Below are 19891 nucleotides of genomic sequence, written 5' to 3'. Positions count from 1 at the left end.
TGCCAACTGTGAGTCCTCCTCTTTTCCCTCTTTCCCATTTCTTAAATGAGTTCCAGTTAGCTGAGATAGCAAGATAAGCAACCTCTGGAATACTAATACTCTACTGTACCTTTGAAGGAACGTGGCTTCAAAATGGACAGTAAAAAACAAAGAAGACCTTCCTAAATTACGTAAAGTTTTCGCATTGTACTTTAAATAGAAATAGGTTTTTGTTTTTTTGAGATGGAGTCTCACTCGGTCACCCAGGATGGAGTGCAATGGCATGGTCTCGGCTCACTGCAGCCTCCGCCTCCTGGGTTCAAGTGATTCTCCCGCCTCTGCCTCCCGAGTAGCTGGGACTACAGGCGTGTGCCCCACACACGGCTAGTTTTTGTATTTTTAGTAGACAGAGTTTCACTCTGTTGGCCAAGCTGGTCTAGAACTCCTGACCTCGTTATCCACCTACCTTAGCCTCCCAAAGTGCTGGGATTACAGGTGTGAGCCACCGCGTTCGGCCAGAAGCAGTTTTCAAATTTGTTTGACAGCAAGAAATTGAAGCGGAGATGCATCCCACCTATTCATCATCTCCTTCTCCCCAAAATAGGCCACCAAAAGAGTGACCACAGAGCCCAGGTCTTGTTACCCCCTTACACCAGAACAAAATGTTTGCTAATTTTTCAAACTCAAATACTTTTTGATTCTCCATAAAGGCAAAAAACCCCAAAAACAAAAAGTAAGATAGTAGTAAATAAAGGGATTGTGGTATCTCTAATAGGGGATGACCTTCAATCTGTATTTCCTCATGAAAAGAAGGCAAACTTCCCACTTCTCCCATATTCCGGAATTGTATAGAGGAAGTTTGACTTCTTTTATAATCTTGATAAATGTGTATGTTTCTCAACAGTGAATTTCTCTACATGCCTTTCAATACCTTCTATCCATGGAGAAGCCAACATATTCAAGTTAATACTTAGTGTCCATTAGGTCTACTGAGCTCCTACTATAGTCCTGGTCTCAAGGAATGAATATATCTTATTTTTATCTCTCAGTACCAATTTTTTTTTTTTTGAGGTGGAGTTTTTGCTCTGTTGCCCAGGCTGGAGTGCAATGGTGCAATCTTTGCCCACTGCAACCTCTGCCTTCTGGGTTCAAGTGATTCTCCTGCCTCAACCTCCTGAGTAGCTGGGATTACAGGTGCCTGCCACTACGCCTGGCTAATTTTTGTATTTTTAGTAGAGATGAGGTTTCACAATGTTGGCCAGGCTGGTCTCAAACTCTTGACCTCAGGTGATCCACCCATCTCCCAAAGTGCTAGGATTACAGGCGTGAGCCACCGCACCTAGCCTCAGCACCAATTTTAAGTAGTCCTTTAAGTCTTATTTTATACAACATGGAGTAATAAAAAGAATATTAGAGTCTGAGTCAGAAAACCTGGAAATTGCTGTGACAATTAATAAAATAATGTTTGTGAAATGTCTTTGAAAATGTAATGTATCATTCTTTGATTTATAAGGAAGTCTTCACTGAGAGGCCATTGTGTGACAGGCACTGTTCTAGGTACTTAGGAGCAGCAGTGAACAAAACATCTGTCCTCATCAAGCTCACATTCTAATAGGGACAAATACATAAATAATTTTACTATTGTTATTATTTTTTATTACATCTTCAGCATCATTGTTAAATAGAGAAGCCTCAGTTACTTGTGCTATACTTCACATTTGAATTACGACCATACAGAGTTTAAAGTATGAAGGTGAAGACTTGGGTGTGTGTACTGGCTCCTTGCCATATACTACCTGGACATATCCACAAGTAAATCATTTCGTCTTACCAAGGATAATTCCTCATTCATAAATGTGGGGTAATGAAAATATTTAACTCACAAGAATGTTTTAAATATTTTATTTAAAGTGAGAATGTATTTGAATTTGGTGAGGAAGGTTAGATATTAAGATGTATTTTGTACATCTTAAAGTACTATACAATACTATACATACTTAGTACAATTACTGTTAATATGGTGGCTTTCTATGGAGAAGCATGATGTACTTTGATAGCCTTAGGCTAATTTAGGGTATCTCTTTTTTTCAAAATATGTGTGTTTGTTTTTTTTTTTTTTTTTTTAAAGCAAATTGGAAACAGAAGTGTTCCCTGTTTCGGATAACATGAATTATGTTCATGTTACAACATTTAACATGCATAGCCATGAATTGGTCAATGTTTTGCTAAGAACAGAGTAAATGGAAACTATTCATATATCAGTTCTCTATTGTTCTGATTACAAGCTTATACATTAGGATGATTCATGGTTTACTTGCTTTTCAAGTCACAATTTCAAGCAGCATCATTTGTCTTCTATTAGCAACTAGTGCTGTTTTACTCATAACACTGGAACATAGGAAAGGGGGTTTGGAATTTGTTATCATGAACCTAGAGTTTTAAGATTTGGAGTTTGTTCTTAAATTCCCAGGTAAAATGCAGTTCTTGAAGGTTTTTGACCTAGAAAATGAACTGAACTACATGTTAAGAGAATTAGTATGGTGACAACTGGTAGGATAATTTGGATTTAAAAGAGACAAGAGGTAGAAAAAAAAAGGAAAAACTGTAGAGAACATTTTGGAATGAAAATCCTCAACTTGTGTAGGGAACCCATTGCCTCCCTTTTTTTAATCCACAACACTGTAATAGTCTGCCTCTAAAGCTTAAGAATAGTAGAAATATTGACTGTGAACATGGATTGTTATGTAAAGAAATTATACAATGGAAATAGATGTGCATTGTTCACCAGTAAAAAGAAAGAAGTAGAGACAGAGGATATTTTAAGAGATGCAATTCTCAGAATTTGGTGATGAAGGTTAGATATCCTAGGAAAGAGAGATACCAAGAAGGGGTTCTGGTTTGTGGTTTGCATAAATAAAATAAGTATTAATAACTTATTTACTGAACAAAAAGGATGTTGGAAGAGGAGCAGGTTTAAGGAAGAAGACGTCATGAGTTCAATGTTGTACAGGTTGAATTTGAGATGCTTTTGATTTATCCAATAGTGTTTATCTAAAAGACCTGAAGATCACCTGCGAGTCTTTGTGTAAGGGAGTAATTAAAATTAGGAATGTGGATAAGATCTCTTAAAGAAAGAAAGAGTGTAGAGTAAGATGAGCAAAAAACTTTAGGAACAAAACTTAAAGACTTATGAATTGAAGATTAGGTGGCTAGGCACAGTGGCTCACATCAGTAATCTCAGCACTTTGGAAGTCCAAGGTGGGAGGATCGGTTGAGGCCACCCTGGGCAACAGCAAGACCCTGTCCCAGCAAAAAAATAATAATGATAATAATAAAAGGAACAAAGAAGATGAAATGGAAGAGAATGAGCCTACAAACAATACAGATTGGGAGAGGCCAGAAAGGAAGAAGGAAAACAAGTTTTCTCTGCTGAAAGTAAGAGAAGGGACGGTTTTAAATGAAGGCAGTAGTCAGTAGTGTCCAATATTATTGAAAAGTCAAGTTAGATGAAGATTTGGCTACAGGGAGTTCACTGATAACTTAGCCAGTTAAATACCATTCCTATGCTGACAACTCCCAAATGTAAAACTCTAGTCCAGTTCTTTCCTGAGCACCAAACCCATACCTTCAGTTGCATATTGAATGTCAACTAGACATCTCTAGCTTAACATGTTCCAAAGAGTTCTCGAAACTTGTTCCTCCAGCATTCTTCCTCACCTCACGTAATGTCAGCGCTCCACCCTTTAAGTCACTCAGTCAAAAAAAAAAAATGTGGCATTATTCTTGACTCCTTGCTTTCTCTCATAGCCTCTCACCCAGTTTTCAGCAAGTTCTATTAGTTCTACCTTCAAAGTATTCTCACCTCTGATTATGTCTCACCATCTCCACTCCAACTTTCCCGTGCCAAGCCTCATTACCTCTTTTTATTTTTACTAACAGCTTTATTGATATAATTGGCATATCACATAATTCATCCATTTAAAGTGTGCAACTCAATGGTTTTTTTTTACTAAAAACCGCAGAGTTGTGCAACCATTGCCACAGTTCATTTTAAAACATTTTCTTCGCCCCAAAGAGAATTTACTCTTCATCCCTCCTCCCACTAGCTCCTGACAATCACTAAACTACTTTCTTTTTCTACAGAACTGCTTATTCTGGGCTTTCCATATAAATGGAATCATACACTTTGTGGTCTTTTCCGAATGGCCTCATTCACGTAGAATACTGTTTTCAAGGTGTATCCATTTTGTCGCATGTATCCATACTTCCTTCATTTTTATGACTAAATAACATTCCATTATATGGATATACCACAATTTTTGTATCCATTCATCAGCTGATGGACATTTATTTGTGTTGTTTCCACTTTTTGGCTTTTAATAACGATGCCATGAATATTCATGTTTTGTTTAGACATGTTTTCATTTCTCTTGGGTATGTATTTAGGAATGTAATTGCTGGTTTCATGTGGTAACTCAATACTTAACCTTTTGAGGAATGCAAGACTGTTTTCCAAAGCATCGCCCATTATCTTTTGATAGGATCAGCATTGGTCCTGCTTCCCCTACTTCCACCCTTGCTCTCCCAATCCATTTTCAACACATCATTTGTCTGTTCAAATTCCTCCGGTGCGTCCTCATCTCACTCAGAGTAAAGTCAAAATATGTGGCAATTACTACATGCTCCCACACAATCTAGCCACATATGACCTTGCTGGTTTTACCTGCTGCTCTGCCTTTCGCACTTGCTCAGTCCACAGTGGCCTCCTTGCTTTTCCTTGACTCTATCAGGTACACTCTCTTGCTTATCTGCTCCTTTCTGGAAGAGACTTTCAGCTAGATCCATAGGGTTTTTTCCCTACCTCCTCACATCTTTGTTCAAATTATCTCCTTCTTAGTGAGGCCATCAACACTCTCCAGCTCCCTGCTATTGTCTGAATGTTTGTGTCACTCCAAAATTCTTATGTTGAACCTAACCCCAATGCAATGGTATTACGGGGTGGGGCCTTTGGGGAGTCATTAACTCATGAGGGCTCCACCCTCCTGAATGGGATTAGTGCCCTTATGAAAGAGACTTAAGGGAGCCTGTTTGCCCCTTCCACCATGTGAGGGGACATAGAAGGCACCATTTATGAGGAACAGGGCCTCACCAGACACTGACTCTGCCCAGAACTGTGAGCAATAAATTTCGGTTGTTTGTCAGTTACCCAGTCTAAGGTATTTTGTTGTTACAGCAGCATGAGTGAACTAAGAACCTCACTTTCCTGCCTGCTTTGTGTGTGTTTGGTTTTTGTCCATTACACTTATCACCAGTGAATGCATGGTGTTATTTATTTGCTTTAGATATGTTTTCCCTACTAGATAGTCAGCTCCATAAAGACAGCTATTTTTGGATTTTGTTTAATGATATACTCCCCAGGGCCTAGACCATATAGTAGGATTAAAGAATTTTTAGATGAATGGGTGAATGATTGAATGTGTGTTGAGCCTGGAAGCCAAATTGGAATAGGTAGAAGAGTGAAGGAAAGTGAGGACATGAATCATTAAGAGTAGACAACACTTCCAGGAGGTTTGAGAATGAGAGAGATGTTGAATATATGCAAATGCCTCCGCCTTCCATCCTGTTAGTATGGATGAAGTGTCTCTGCTCCTACTAAGACCAACTCTCCACTTGTACCCAGGATCTTGTTGTGAGGAAAAACTTCTCCTCTGTCAACTTAGGTCTGAATAGTCCCAGGACCTGCAAATTATCCAGCCATAGGCAGATTAATTGAAGAAAAGATAAAAGTTTATTTTCACGTGCATGCAAGAGTTGCTCAGTCACGAGTAACTCACTGAATAGCCAGAGACAAGAGGTTTATATAACGATTTCACAAAAGGAGGGGAGGGTTTCACTGCGAAGGTATAAAGGGTTCTATTGGGCTTTTTGTTGTTAATGGGAATAGGCAGTCTATCTCTTTCCTGGCTGGAAATTTTCCCACGGAGGCGATGGGTGTTATGGCAGCTGAATTCATAGTTCCCAGTGCTAAGGGTTAACCTTTCTTCAAATGGTAAACTCCCTCAGATGGGGGTCAACAGCAGCTGTATTTTGGGAGGGTTCTACTCAAGTGTAAATAATGTTTCTTTCTGTGGCTGCTGCCTGTTCAGATGTTTTCAGTTTAAAATAGTCTTCATAGCACTTTGGTGGGCAGCTAATTCCTTCAATCTAACCCCTTCGGCCTGTGCAGACAGGCCCCCATGATGCATTACTCACGAGGCACCTTTCATACAAAAGAGCACGTGACGTCTCCCTGGGACATTATCTTTATACTGAGCATGGTGTAAGGCCCTGCTCAAGGACATCACTCTGGTAAATGTCTCTGCTCAGTTCTGAATCATCAGCTTTTTCTTCTCAACTGCATCATCCTGTTATATACAAACGTATATACATCCTGTTATATACAAAACAGCCTTTTTTTTTTTTTTGAGGCGGAGTCTTGCTCTGTCACCCAGGCTGGAGTGCAGTGGCATGATCTTGTCTCACTGCAACCTCCACTTCCTGGGTTCAAGCGATTCTTTTGCCTCAGCCTCCCGAGTATCTGGGATTACAGGTGCCCGCCACAGTGCCTGGCTAATTTTTGTATTTTTAGTAGAGATGGGGTTTTGCCATGTTGGCCAGGCTGGTCTCGAACTCCTGACCTCGTGATCCACCCGCCTCAACCTCCCAAACTGCTGGGATTACAGGTGTGAGCCACCACGCCCGGCCAACCTTTGATTTTATAAGGAAAATTTAAATATGTATTAGGCATTCAATGGTACCTAGGAATTACTGTGACTCTAGTCACAGGAGACCCTCACCCTCAGGAAAGATAGGAGACCACGCAAATACAACGCACACAGAAGGCATTCTATTCATCCTGCTTGTTGAAAACCCTGTCTTCTCCCACAAGCCTAGGGTCAAGCCTGCTCAGAAAGGAGGAGAAAAGGTACGGATTCAGACCAGTCTCCATATCAGATCTGTCTCCAACACCTAGAGACAGTGTAGCAACAAGCCCACAGAGACAGCTCTCATCAGAAAGGCATCTCCATATGCCTGGCAGTGAGATCTAGTGAATCAGTGATGCTTGAGAACTTCGGATGTTGTCCTTGGATCAAACATGTAAAACTGGTCCACATATATTACACTCTGTATATCATTATATATTATATATGTTGCTTAACAACAGGGGTACATTCTGAGAAATGTGTCAATAAGCAAATATGGTGCTGTACAACTATCATAGAGTGTTCTTACACAAAACTAGGTGGTGTAGCCTACTTCACACCTAGGCTGTATCAAATAGCCAGTTGCTCCTAGGTTACAAACCTGTGCAACATTTATTGTACTGAGTACTACAGGCATTTGCAACACAATGGTGTCTTACATATCTAAACATAGAAAAAACATACAGTAGAAATACAGTATTAGAATTTTATGGGACCACCATCATATATGCAGTCTGTCTTTGACCAAAATGTTGTTATGCAGCACTTGACCATATATATATATATACATACACACATACACAGGCATACCTCAGAGATATTGCAGGTTCAGTTCCAGACCACTACAATAAAATAAGCATCAAAATACATCAAGTTGGCAGGGCATGGTGGCTCACACCTGCAATCCCAGCACTTTGTGGTGCTGAGACGTGCGGATCTTATGAACCCAGGAGTTCGAGACCAGCCTGGGCAACATGGCAAAACCCTGTCTCTATTAAATAGAAAAATTAGCCAAGCTGGTGGCACACATCTGTAGGCTAGCTACTCGGGAGGATGAGGTGGGAGAATTACCTGAGCCCTGGGAGGTTGAGGCTGCAGTAAGCTGTGATCGCATCACTGCACTCCACCCTGAGTGACACACTGAGACCCTGTCTCAATAAATTAATTAATTCAAAATAAATCCAACCACATGAATTTTTTGGGTGCCAGTGCGTATTAAGGTTGTTTACACTATACTGCAGTCTATTAAGTGTGCCATAGCATTATGTCTAAAAAACAATGTACATATTTTAATTTTAAAATGGTTTATTGCTAAAAATGCTAACAAAGTGAGCATATGGTGTTAGAAAAATGGCGCTCATAGACTTGTTCAACACAGGGTTGCCACAAACCTTTAATTTGTCAAAAAAACACAGTATCTGTGGAGCAAAATAAAGCAAAGCCCAATCAAATGAGGTATGCCTGTCTATAAAATATTTTGTCTCAAAAAAAGTTGACTCAATTTTGAGTGGCTAAAATTTTAATACATAGTCCTATGAAGTTGAAAAATAATATCTCTAGGCAGCCATCCTGGTTTTAATCTAATAAATTATGAAATACAAATTAACAAAGACTTGAAGGACTAGGTTAAATAGGCGATCCTAAACGTTAATCATATCACCTACTAGACGCAATTAGCTTTTGGAATAAAAGAGTAAGCATAAATATAATCAACTAATTTGTCAGATTCACCAAATACTATATTGATGTTATAAAAACTAATTCTTGGGCCATCCTGAGATTGACAACAAAATATTGACAGAATTAGACATTCATAAACACAGCCATGCCACTGCCATCCGTGCATTTCTCTTTGTGGCCTTTCCTTGCACTAAGCTAATATTTTTTTCTATTAATTTCCTTATTAATTCAAAATTAGCTAATGGTTTTGATAGATATAATCAAGGGAAAAGAAAGATGATAAACGCAAAAACGTTTTTGTGGTTTTTGCTGTTGTTTTATTGTTCTTCTCAGTGATGGATTACATTTTAAAAGGACCAGAATGTTGGTGCATTGCTAAGTCCTACAACGTGACCTTCTAAGGCCACTGAAGCTGAAAAGTGCCACATTAGGACTCAGAGTGAAAGTCACACTAATAGACTTTAGGCAAATTATTGTTTATTTTTATTTTTATTTTTTGAGATGGAGTTTCTCTCTGTCGCCCAGGCTGGAGTGCAGCGGCGCGATCTCGGCTAACTGCAAGCTCTGCCTCCCAGGTTCAAGCGATTCTCCTACCTCAGCCTCCCGAGTAGCTGGGACTACAGGCACCCGCCACCACGCTGGGCTAATTTTTTGTATTTTTAGTAGAGACAGGGTTTCACCTTGTTAGCCAGGATAGTCTCGATCTCCTGACTTCGTGATCTGCCCACCTCGGCCTCCCAAAGTGCTGAGATTACAGGCGTGAACTACTGTGCCTGGCCTAGGCAAAGTTTTTTATGTTGCCAAATTAACTGAAAGAAAAGATCTGCTGGGGTACCAGGCATGGTTTCTCCATTTTGGGGGCACAGCCAATGGATGAAACATACACTGTTGTATAATGGAGGATTTGGCTGGCTTGTGCCCCTGGTTCCTGTGACAGAGCCTCTAAACTCTTGGAATTTCCCAAGTGATAGAAGCGTCTTTATTATTCATGGTAGACCTCTCTGACCACACTGGAGTTTATGCTAATGATGTGACTCATAGTTCTAGGTATTTTCAGCATGGGGGCTTTCCATGCTGGAGAGAAAAATTATGTGGTTAGAGGGTTGGGGCTTCAAGCCATATGTTATCAACGTGACTTCCCAGCCTCTGGGGAGGGAAGGGGGGGTCTAGGGATTGAGTTCAATCATGTGGCCAGTGATTCAGCCAATCAAGCCTATAGAATGAAACCCCAGTAAGAGCTCTGGACACCCAAAGCTTAAGTGAGCTTCCAGGTGAGTGACACATATTGATGTGCCAGGAGGGTGATACATCCTGAAGACATGGAAGCTCTGTGTTGGGGACCCTCTAAGATCTCAACATATGTTCTTCTCATTTGGCTAGTCTTGACTTTATATATATATATATATATATATTTTTTTTTTTTTGATATGGAGTCTCACTCTGTCACCCAGGCTGGTGTGCAATGGCGCATCTCAGCTCCCTGCAACCTCTGCTTCCTGGGTTCAAGAGATTCTTGTTTCAGCCTCCCTAGTAGCTGGGATTACAGGTGTGTGCCATCACACCTGGCTAATTTTTGTATTTTTAGTAGCAATGAGGTTTCACCATGTTGCCCAGGCTGGTCTCAAACTCCTGGCCTCAAGTGATCCACCCGCCTCAGCCTCCCAAAGTGATGGGATTACAGGTATGAGCAACTGTGCCTGGCAACTCATGTCCTTTATAATAAAATTGTAATCCTAAGTGTAACACTTTCTGGAATTCTGTGAGTTATTCTAGGAAAGTATAGAGCCTGAGGAAGTAGTGGAAATGCCTAAATTTGTCACCAGTTGGTTAGAAGTGCAGGTGGCTGGAAAGCCCAGAGCCTGTGGCTGGTGTCTGAAGTGAGAGAAGTCTCGTGGTGGACTACACCCTCAACTTCCGCAATTTGACCTAATTCCAGGTAGTTAGTGTCAGAATGGCATTGCAGATACATACACAGAGAAAGTCGAGCACGATGCAATAAATGTGATGAGATAGGCAGGCACTGAGAAAATGCAGTGAGCACACAGAGAGAAGCCCATAACCCAGCACCTTCCCTGAAGTCAACAAAACCTTTCAGCAATGTTACTTGAGATGACTCCGAGAATGTTTGCTTTGTAAAATTCAAAAGTTAAAAGAAGAACATAAATCACCCAACCAAGGATCATCAAATCAATATTTATGTTTCTGTCATATTTTCTTCTACACATATTTCTATGGATTTTTACATATTTGAGGTACTACTCGATGTATGATTATTTTCACTTTCATTGAACATTTCCTAAGCGTAACCTCTTGGCATGAAAGGCTTATCACACATTTTCATTTAATGGCTATACGCTACGCTATCACATACATTCAATGTAATTTATATAACTGTTTTCCTAATTTGGGGCATTAAGGCTGCTTGTGGGTTTTAATATAACAAATAGTGCTAGGATAAATATCTTTACACATATATCTTTGTCCACATTTCTGATTATTTCCTTAGGATAGACTCTCAAAGTAGAGTTACTGAGTAAAAGATTTGTTTGTGCTGAGCACAGTGGCTCAACGACTGTAATCCCAGCATGCTGGGAGGCCAAGGTGGGCGGATCAATTGAGGCCAGAAGTTTGAGACCAGCATGGCCAAGATGGTGAAACCCTGTCTCTACTAAAAATACAAAAATTAGCCGGGCATGGTGGCACGTGCCTGTAATCCCCGCTACTTGGGAGGCTGACGCAGGAGAATCACTTGAACCCAGGAGGTGGAGGGTGCAGTGAGCCAAGATAGCGCCACTGCACTCCAGCCTGGGCAACAAAGCAAGACTCCATCTCAAAAAGAAAAAAAAAGAAAGAAAATAAATTTGTGCACCTCCTGAAGCCTGGTGCCAAATTTATTTATAGAAATATAAATTTACCTTCCTGCTAAGCATGTGTGAGACGCCTCTAACTTAACACTCACCAGTCAAAATTAAATTGTTAACTTTAAAAATTTAGAAGTTTGGGCCAGGCGCAGTGACTCACATCTGTAATCCCAGCACTTTGGGAGGCCGAGGCAGGCGGTCACAAGGTAAGGAGATCGAGACCATCCTGGCTAACACGGTGAAACCCCATCTCTACTAAAAATACAAAAAATTAGCCGGGTGTGGTGGCAGGCACCTGTAGTCCCAGCTACTCGGGAGGCTGAGGCAGGAGAATGGCCTGAACCCAGGAGGTGGAGCTTGCAGTGAGCTGAGATCGTGCCACTGCACTCCAGCCTGGGCGACAGAGCGAGACGCCATCTAATAAAAAAAAAAAAAAAATTTAGAAGTTTGATAGGTCCTTCAAATGTATTTGTTTTAATGTGCATTCAACTACTTGTAAGACTGTATTTTTTCATGTCCATTGGTTATTCCTATTTATTCTGTCTTAGTACTTGTTCTAAGTATTTATTGGAATCTTAAGTGTTTAGCTTTAACTATTTGTTAAATATATCATATAAAGTTCATGTACTATAGATTTTTCCTAAAGAGTGATGCTATGATGTAAGGGTGTTAATCCTTTATGAAGTTAGTTAGGAAGTTAACCCTTCATATTATTTTTAATAGCTTTTGTTTCAAATTGTTGAGTTTTGAGAATTTTACTTTTTGTGGAAAAAAATTTTTTGGGATATTTTTGTTCATGATTGTGTGACAGACATTGAGGTGACCTGCTCAGATTGCCTTTCCAGAAAGAACTCCTGTCCAGTGAGTAGGAGTGTGTTTAGCTGATGGCCTCTAGTTATCAGTTCCTTCAGGTTTTGCCTCAGCTTTTGAGCTGAGGGCACATTATTTTGGGGGTGGTCCTCAACCAATGACTGAGCCAGGCAGTTGTTTAAGGGCCTACCCATCTTCACCAAACACAGGACCCCTCTAACGGGCATTTTTAATATTTTTTTACCCAGCACTGGAGCTTGAATGCAATTGCTCCAATAAAAATGTCATGATCATTTGCCCAGTTCCTGAACCTGAGCAATTCCAGACCTGGAATCTATTAACCAAAGAAGTGGCTGGGTTCCCAGGGGGAAAACCCTGCCAACACTGAGACAAATATACAGAGCACTGACACTCCAAGTTCTTCTCTAAAGGCATTTATGGCCATTTATTCAAGTGAATACATAATATGGTAAGAATGACCAGACCCTTTAAGGGGTATTAGATAAAGAGTCCAAGTGGTCACTGAAACTCGGGGACATGGAATGTCATCATGGCCTCTCTTCTTAGAGTGGGGTCACATAGGAATCAAGAAATAATGAGGCCAGGCACAGTGACTCATGCCTGTAAACCTAGCACTTCGGGAAACGGAAGTGGGAAGATTGCTTGAGCCTAAAAGTTTGAGACCAGCCTGGGCAACACATTTCTTTAAAAAAAAAAAAAAAAACATCAGCTAGGCATGGTGGCACGTGCCTGTAGTCCCAGCTACTTGGGAGGCTGAGGTGGGAGGATCACTTGAGCTGGAAAGGTCGAGGCTGCAGTAAGCAGTGATCACACCACTGCATTCCAGCCTGGGTGACAGAGACCCTATTTAAAAAAAAGAAACAAGAATGAAGAAATTTCAAGGCCTAGAGTAATAATAATATGTCCTCTAGGTTCACAAACCCTCCTGGTGGTCAGTTCCCTAGTCCCTGAATGTATAATTAGATTTAACACACTTGAAAATTAGAAAACCATCTATATTGAGACATTGGCTTATAGGAGTAATAGTTATCAGAGTGTGGAAAGCCAAATTGGAGGCTATGAAATAATCCACCACCACTCTCCAGTCAGCATAGCAAATCAAAAACATTACTGCATCCCAGGTAAGAAAATGAGGAGCACCAAAGACTAGTGCTTTTGTTTTGTTTTGTTTTTTGTTTTTTGCAATGCAGTTTCACTCTTTTTGCCCAGGCTGGAGTGCAATGGCACAATCTCGGCTCACTGTAACACCTGCCTCGCGGGCTCAAGAGATTCTCCTGCCTCAGCTTCCCGAGTAGCTGGAATTACAGGTGCCCACTAATTTTTGTATTTTTAATAGAGACGGGGTTTCACCATGTTGACCAGGCTGGTCTTGAACTTCTGACCTCAGGTGATCTGCCCACCTCGGCCTCCCAAACTGCCGGGATTACAGGTGTGAGCCACTGCGCCCAGCCCTTAGTGTCATTTTTAAAGGACTAAAGGGTCCAGGGATGGTGGTACCTAGCATATCTCTATTTAATTCACCAGTCCAGTTCCTGCAGAAAGTAAATTGGTTTTGGAGAATGACTGAGACTTCAGTAAGATCAACCAAGCTGTTGCCCAGTCACAACTGCTGTACCATGTGTGGTATCATTGTTAAAGGATATTAATATAGCCTCTTGTGTGGTATATGGCCGCTGATATAGACAATGCATTACTTTCTTTTTTTTTTTTTTTTTTGAGATGGAGTTTCACTCTGTCACCCAGACTCGAGTGCAGTGGCACAATCTTGGCTCACTGCAACATCCACTCCCTGGGGTTCAAGTGATTCTCGTGCCTCAGCCTCCCAAATGGCTGGGATTACAGACGTGAACCACCACCCCTAGCTAAGTTTTTTGTTTTGTTTTGTTTTGTTTTCATAGAGATGGGGTTTCACCCTGTTGGCCAGGTTGGTCTCGAACTCCCAACCTCAGGGGATCCAACTGCCTTGGCCTCCCAAAGTGCTGGGATTACAGGCATAAGCCACCACACCCAGCCAAGAATTCATTACTTTCTATCCCAATGAAGAGAAAGGATTAAAAACAGTTTACATTTTCTTGGAAAGGACAACATTATACAATTACATTATTGCCTAGAACTATACTGTCTCCTCTGCCCTCTCTCATAATAGAGCCTGAAAAGATATGAACTGTTTGGACATCCCACAAAACATCAGATTGATCCATTACATGATGATGTCTTACTGATCATTGGTTTCAACATCACCTAGAAATACTGTTCTGACCTATATACCAAGTAGCATAGAAGACTTCTAGCTTTAAGTGGGACCCAAAGCCAGAGAAGACTACACAGCAGTTCCAGGATGTGATGCAGTATCCCTGTCACTTGGGCCTTACAACCTGGCAGACCTTAGGTAATGTCAGTGTCAATGATGGAAGATGATGTAGTGCAGAGTTTATAGCAAACCTCAACAGTAGAATCACAATTCAGGTCCCTGGGGTTCTAGAGCAAGCCCATGTTATCTGTTGCTAAAAAAAACAAAAAAAAAAAAACAAAAAAAAAACTTGTTGAAAAACACTTCCTAGCATGCTACTGGGTCCTGGTAGAGACAAAAATGCTTGACCATAAAACACTAAGTGACTGTGTATCAGAAAATGAGCTGGGACCTTCTTGGACCCACCAAGTCATAAGTAAGTCCTGGATGTATCATATCTATCTTATGATGGACTACTATCATAAATGCCAGTATTCCATCATAAGATGGATATGATACATCCAGTACCAAGCAAGAGCAAGTCATGAGGGCATGAGCAAACTGTATGGATGAGTAGCCAGATTCCCATCACCCTCGACCAATGTACCAGCACCCCTCTGTCAGTTCACACCTATGGCCATATGGTGGTCCCACATGAGGAGCTTAAGGTGGAAAAATTAAACAAGAAGGAATAGGATGGCTGGCTGGTCAGAGAGCTAAAGAAAAAAGATGGAAAGATCATGGACAAGGAGATTTAGGCTAGGAGTCTGCAGATGCACACAATGTGAATACAGAGTGTCAAGATCAGTGCCCACCAGAAAGCACCCACTATAGAAGAGGCACTAAACAACCATGAAAAAACATGAGCCAGGAATGGTGGCTCATGCTTGTAATTCCAGCTCTTTGGGAAGCTGAGGCAGGAGGCTCTCTTGAGGCTAAGAGTTCAAGACCAGCCTGGGAAACACAGCAAAAAAAGCCCGTTTCTATAAAAAAATTAACAGGCCGGGCGTGGTGGCTCACGCCTGTAATCCCAGCACTTTGGGAGGCTAAGGCGGGCGGATCACCTGAGGTCAGGAGTTCTAGACCAGCCTGGCCAACATGGTGAAACCCTGTCTCTACTAAAAAAACAAAAATTAGCGGGGTGTGGTGACAGGCACCTGTAATCCCAGCTATTGGGGCGGTGGCTGGGGGGTGGTGGTGGGGCGAGGCAGGAGAATCACTTGAACCCAGGAGGCAGAGATTGCAGTGAGCCGAGATCGTGCCATCGCACTCCAGCCTGGGGGACAAGAGCGAGACTTCATCTCAAATAAAAAAAAAAAAAATTAACAAATTTGCTGGGCATGGTGGTGAGCACCTGTAGTCCCAACTACTCAGGAGGCTGAGGAGGGAGATTACCTGAGTCTGGGAGTTGGAGGCTGCAGTGAGCCATAATTACATCATTTCACTGCAGCCTGGGCAACAGTGAGACCCTGTCTCTAAAAGAAAGGAAGAAAAATGATGCAGCCAGTTGATGATAGCCATCTTTCATGCAGGCACCCCAGTGATAAAACAATGGGCACATAAATGAAGTGGTGGCAGAGAGGGAGGCCCTGCATATTCCCATCAGCATGGACTCCTATTCACCAAGGCCTCTGTAGCTACTGCCACCTCTGAATGTTCAATCCGCCAACAACAGAAACCAGTGCTGAACCTAAAACATGGCATTATTTCTTGAACGGACGAATGGGTGATCTGGTGGCAAGCTGACTACAGTGGACCCATTCCATCCCAGAGGGGCCAACTAACAGTGTGTTCTCACAAGAACAGAAACCTATTCTGAATATGGGTTTGCCTTTTCCTACCACACAGCCTCAGCCAGCACTGCTATTCAAGGGTTATGGAATGGTTAATACACAGTAAATCCCACACAAAGAACATCTAACCAGGGAACCCATTTTAAAACAGAAGAGGTGAAGGCGTGAGCCCATGCCCACAGCATCCACAGGCTGAATCACCACCCAGAGGCTGCCAACCTGACAGAGCATTGGAGTGGCCTGCTGAAGTGCCAGATCCGAGGCAGCACTCTGTGAGGATGAAATGCCATCCTTCAGGGTATGTGCATTGAATCAGAGACATGTATATAATTCTGTGTCCGCAGTGAGACGAATACTTGGGGAAACCAAGAGGCGGAAGCAGGAATAGCTCTGCTTACCATTACCACCAGTGACCATCTGTAAAAATCTTTACTTCCTGTTCCCCATAACTCTGAGCTCCAGAGTTAGAGGACCTGATCCCAAATGAAGCACTCTTAACAGGAGAATCCAGATCCCATTGAGCTAATAGCTATGACTGCCACCAAGTCACTTAGGGCTCCTTTTGTCCAGGAAACAACAGGCAAAAAGAAAGTCAGCTACTAGTCATCTGCCATCATCTGGAGGAGGTCCAACCGCTGTCACTCCATGTATGGAACGCAGGTGACCCACTGAGGTGTCTCTTAAGATACTTTCTTGTCTGAATAGGCAGGTGCTGTAATTCCAGTGTTTTGAAAGGCTGAGGCAGGAGGATCACTTGATCACTGAAGCCCAGCCTGAAGATTTCGGTTATCAGGGCTCCGAACCTTCAGATGAGGGTTAGAGTCCCACCTCAGATAAGCCACCAAGACCAGCAGAGGTGGTAATTGAGTGGCAGGGGTTTTAGAATGGATGATGGAGGAGAGAGAGGATGAGCGCCGGTTGCGTCCTGAAGAGCAACTGCAGCGATGGGGGTGCAGTTCTTCCCACTGACTTCTCACTTCTCAGTTTCTCCTCGGGGAGGGAGCCTATAAGAGCCCCACAGGAGCTACTCCCTATGTGTGTACAGAAAAGTGGATTCATAGATTGCAAGGGGTAGACTGTGGCAGGGACGGAAACACTCTGCTCAGATCCACTCTCAAAAATAGGCCTGCAGCCCAGGTAAAGGGTGTGGACAGCAGACAACCTCTAGCTATTAGTTCCTCAGGGTTCTCCTCAGCTTTCAAAAAGAGGCTGCTCTAATACTCAGGGCAGCCCTTAGCCACTCACGGAGCAAGAAACTGGTTCAAGGCTCAGCTATGTCGCCCAACCTGGGACTCCTCTAACGGGAAATCTTTGTTCTAGAGCTCCTCATTGGACTACTCGACTTTTTTCAGATTCACCTTTCCCTGCCCATTCCTGCTTCCTCCCTTTCTCCCTTCACAGGCATGACTCACCAATAAGCCTCACATACTAGGACAACTGCAGTGTCTGCTCCCTGGAGAACCCAGCCTGTGAGCGAGAGCTTCCATTGTTTTAAGCTTAGAACATTCCAATCTGATAAAAAAAAATACCCACACACATATACTTTCATCTATTTTTAGGAATTACTTGAGTTTTTACATTTTAATGTGTTACTCATCTGCAAATTATTCTGGTACAGTGTTAAGTGAGATAGTGTTAAGTGAGGATCTAAATTGATTTTTTTCCTGTGGTAGGCAACCTCTAATATCTCTACCTCCAGACCTTCATGCCTCTATGTAATCCTCTCTCCTTGAGTGAGGGCTTGTTTAAGCTAAAAGATCAACTCTCTCACAGTTAATGGTGTGGGCCTGACAAGGTGGTTCTGCCATCCTTGACAAGTGGCTCCCGTCTCTGGGTCTCGGGCAATTGTTCTAAATCTCATTTTCTCCAAACTAAAAGGACAGCAGAGTGAGGCTGGAAGGTACACAACCCTAATTCATTAAGGAGCAAGACTTGGAAGTGGCATTTATCAATTTTGTTGACATCTCATTAGCCAAAATGTGGTCACATGGGTGTACCCAGCTGCATGGAGGATTTGAAAATACAACATCACTTATTGATCATTCATTCCTTTCCCCCCACTGAGTTATCCTTTCATCTCTATCATACATTGTATTCTATCCAATGATCCCCTGCTATTGCCAGAGCATTTCACTCATTCCTGCTTTCTTATACATTTTATATATGATACAGCCAGTTTTCATTACTTTTCTTTTTGAATAGTCTCTAAGCTAATTTGTTACTGTCTAGTTTGCAGATGAAAGGTTAAATTAGTATGTCCACATTTTTAAAAAACAATTGATATTTTTAAATTAAATTTTTATCAAACATTCATATAGAAAAGGGCACAAATCATACATGTAATTTCTTTTTTGTTTGTTTGTTTGTTTGTTTGAGACAGAGTCTCACCCTGTCGCCCAGACTGAAGTGCAGCGGTGCGATCTTGGCTCACTGCAACCTCCGCTACCCAGGTTCAGGCGATTCTCCTGCCTCAGCCTCCCGAGTAGCTGGGATTACAGGCGCATGCCACCACGCCCAGCTAATTTTTTGTAGTTTTTGTAGAGACGGGGTTTCACTGTGTTAGCCAGGAAGGTCTCAATCTCCTGACCTCGTGATCTGCCCACCTCAGCCTCCCAAAGTGCTGGGATTACAGGCGTGAGCCACCGCGCCTGGCCCATACATGTAATTTCTAAGAATTTTTGGAAAATGAATACATGCAATTAGCACTCAAATCAAGAAATAAGCCCAAGGCAGGCAGATCACCTGAGGTCAGGAGTTCAAGACCAGCCTGGCCAACTGGTGAAAGTGAAACCCCATCTCTACTAAAAATACAAAAATTTGCTGGGTGTGGTGATGGGCACCTGTAATCCTAGCTACTTGGGAGGCTGAGGCAGGAGAACCACTTGAGCCCGGGAGGCAGAGGTTGCAGTGAGCCGAGATTGCACTACCGCACTCCAGCCTGGGCAACAGAGCCAGATTCCCTCTCAAAAGAAAAAAGAAAAGAAGCATTACCAGAACAAAAGTCTCCCTTGCATCCCTTCCAGGCATCATAGATCATTTGGATCTGTTTTGGAACTTTATACGAGTGGAATCACAAAGTATATACTCTTTAGTGTCTGCCTTCTTTGTTCATTATTATGTTTGCGAGATTCACCTATGTTGATGCTGTAGTTGTAGTTCAATCATCCTCTTGCTGTATATTATTTCATTGAATGAATATACAGTTTATTTACTCATTTATGGACATTTGATTGTTTCTAGTTGTTGGCTATTAAAAATAGTGCTGCTATGATCATTACTGTACCAAAAATTTGCCCATCAGAACTCTGTTTTGAACTACGATAAACTCATATATTCAAGAAAAAAATTAACACTTTTGCAATACTCAGTCCACCTGTACATCAACAATTATGTATCTGCATGAAATCTTTTACATTTTTACACCTCTCAGAATATACTGTAAGTATTCATACATGTCTATCACGTTTTTTGTTAAAGCTATTCATTGGTATATAAAGTTTCTGTTGACACCAAGTTTCATACTACTAAAAAAGTGATTATTACTAGTATATAGCACTGCTATTTAATACATATTTTCCTTTATTCTAGACACTTCTAAATTACTCTAAATTCTAAAGGAAATGCTTCTAATGTTTCATCATTCTATAATTTAAGTGCTCTCTTCTACTTTGCTGCAGGATCACCATTGTCTTCATAACTCTTTCTCTAACCTGAGAATATCACTGTGGGTCATGTAAACTTGACATGCATTTGTTAGCCTACTTTTGTAACTCT

General features: G+C 41.7%; 1 annotated feature.

Moving 5' to 3' along the window:
* Positions 9241–9640: an enhancer, noted in NCBI's record as "active region_23021". NCBI's record gives its function as "activates an Ori minimal core promoter by ATAC-STARR-seq in GM12878 lymphoblastoid cells {active_cell/tissue: GM12878}" and the evidence as "EXISTENCE:reporter gene assay evidence [ECO:0000049][PMID:35858748]".

The sequence above is a fragment of the Homo sapiens genome, chromosome 5, assembly GCF_000001405.40.
Source record: "Homo sapiens chromosome 5, GRCh38.p14 Primary Assembly".
NCBI classification, from domain to species: Eukaryota; Metazoa; Chordata; class Mammalia; order Primates; family Hominidae; genus Homo; species Homo sapiens.
This window is presented reverse-complemented; position numbering and strand designations above follow the sequence as displayed.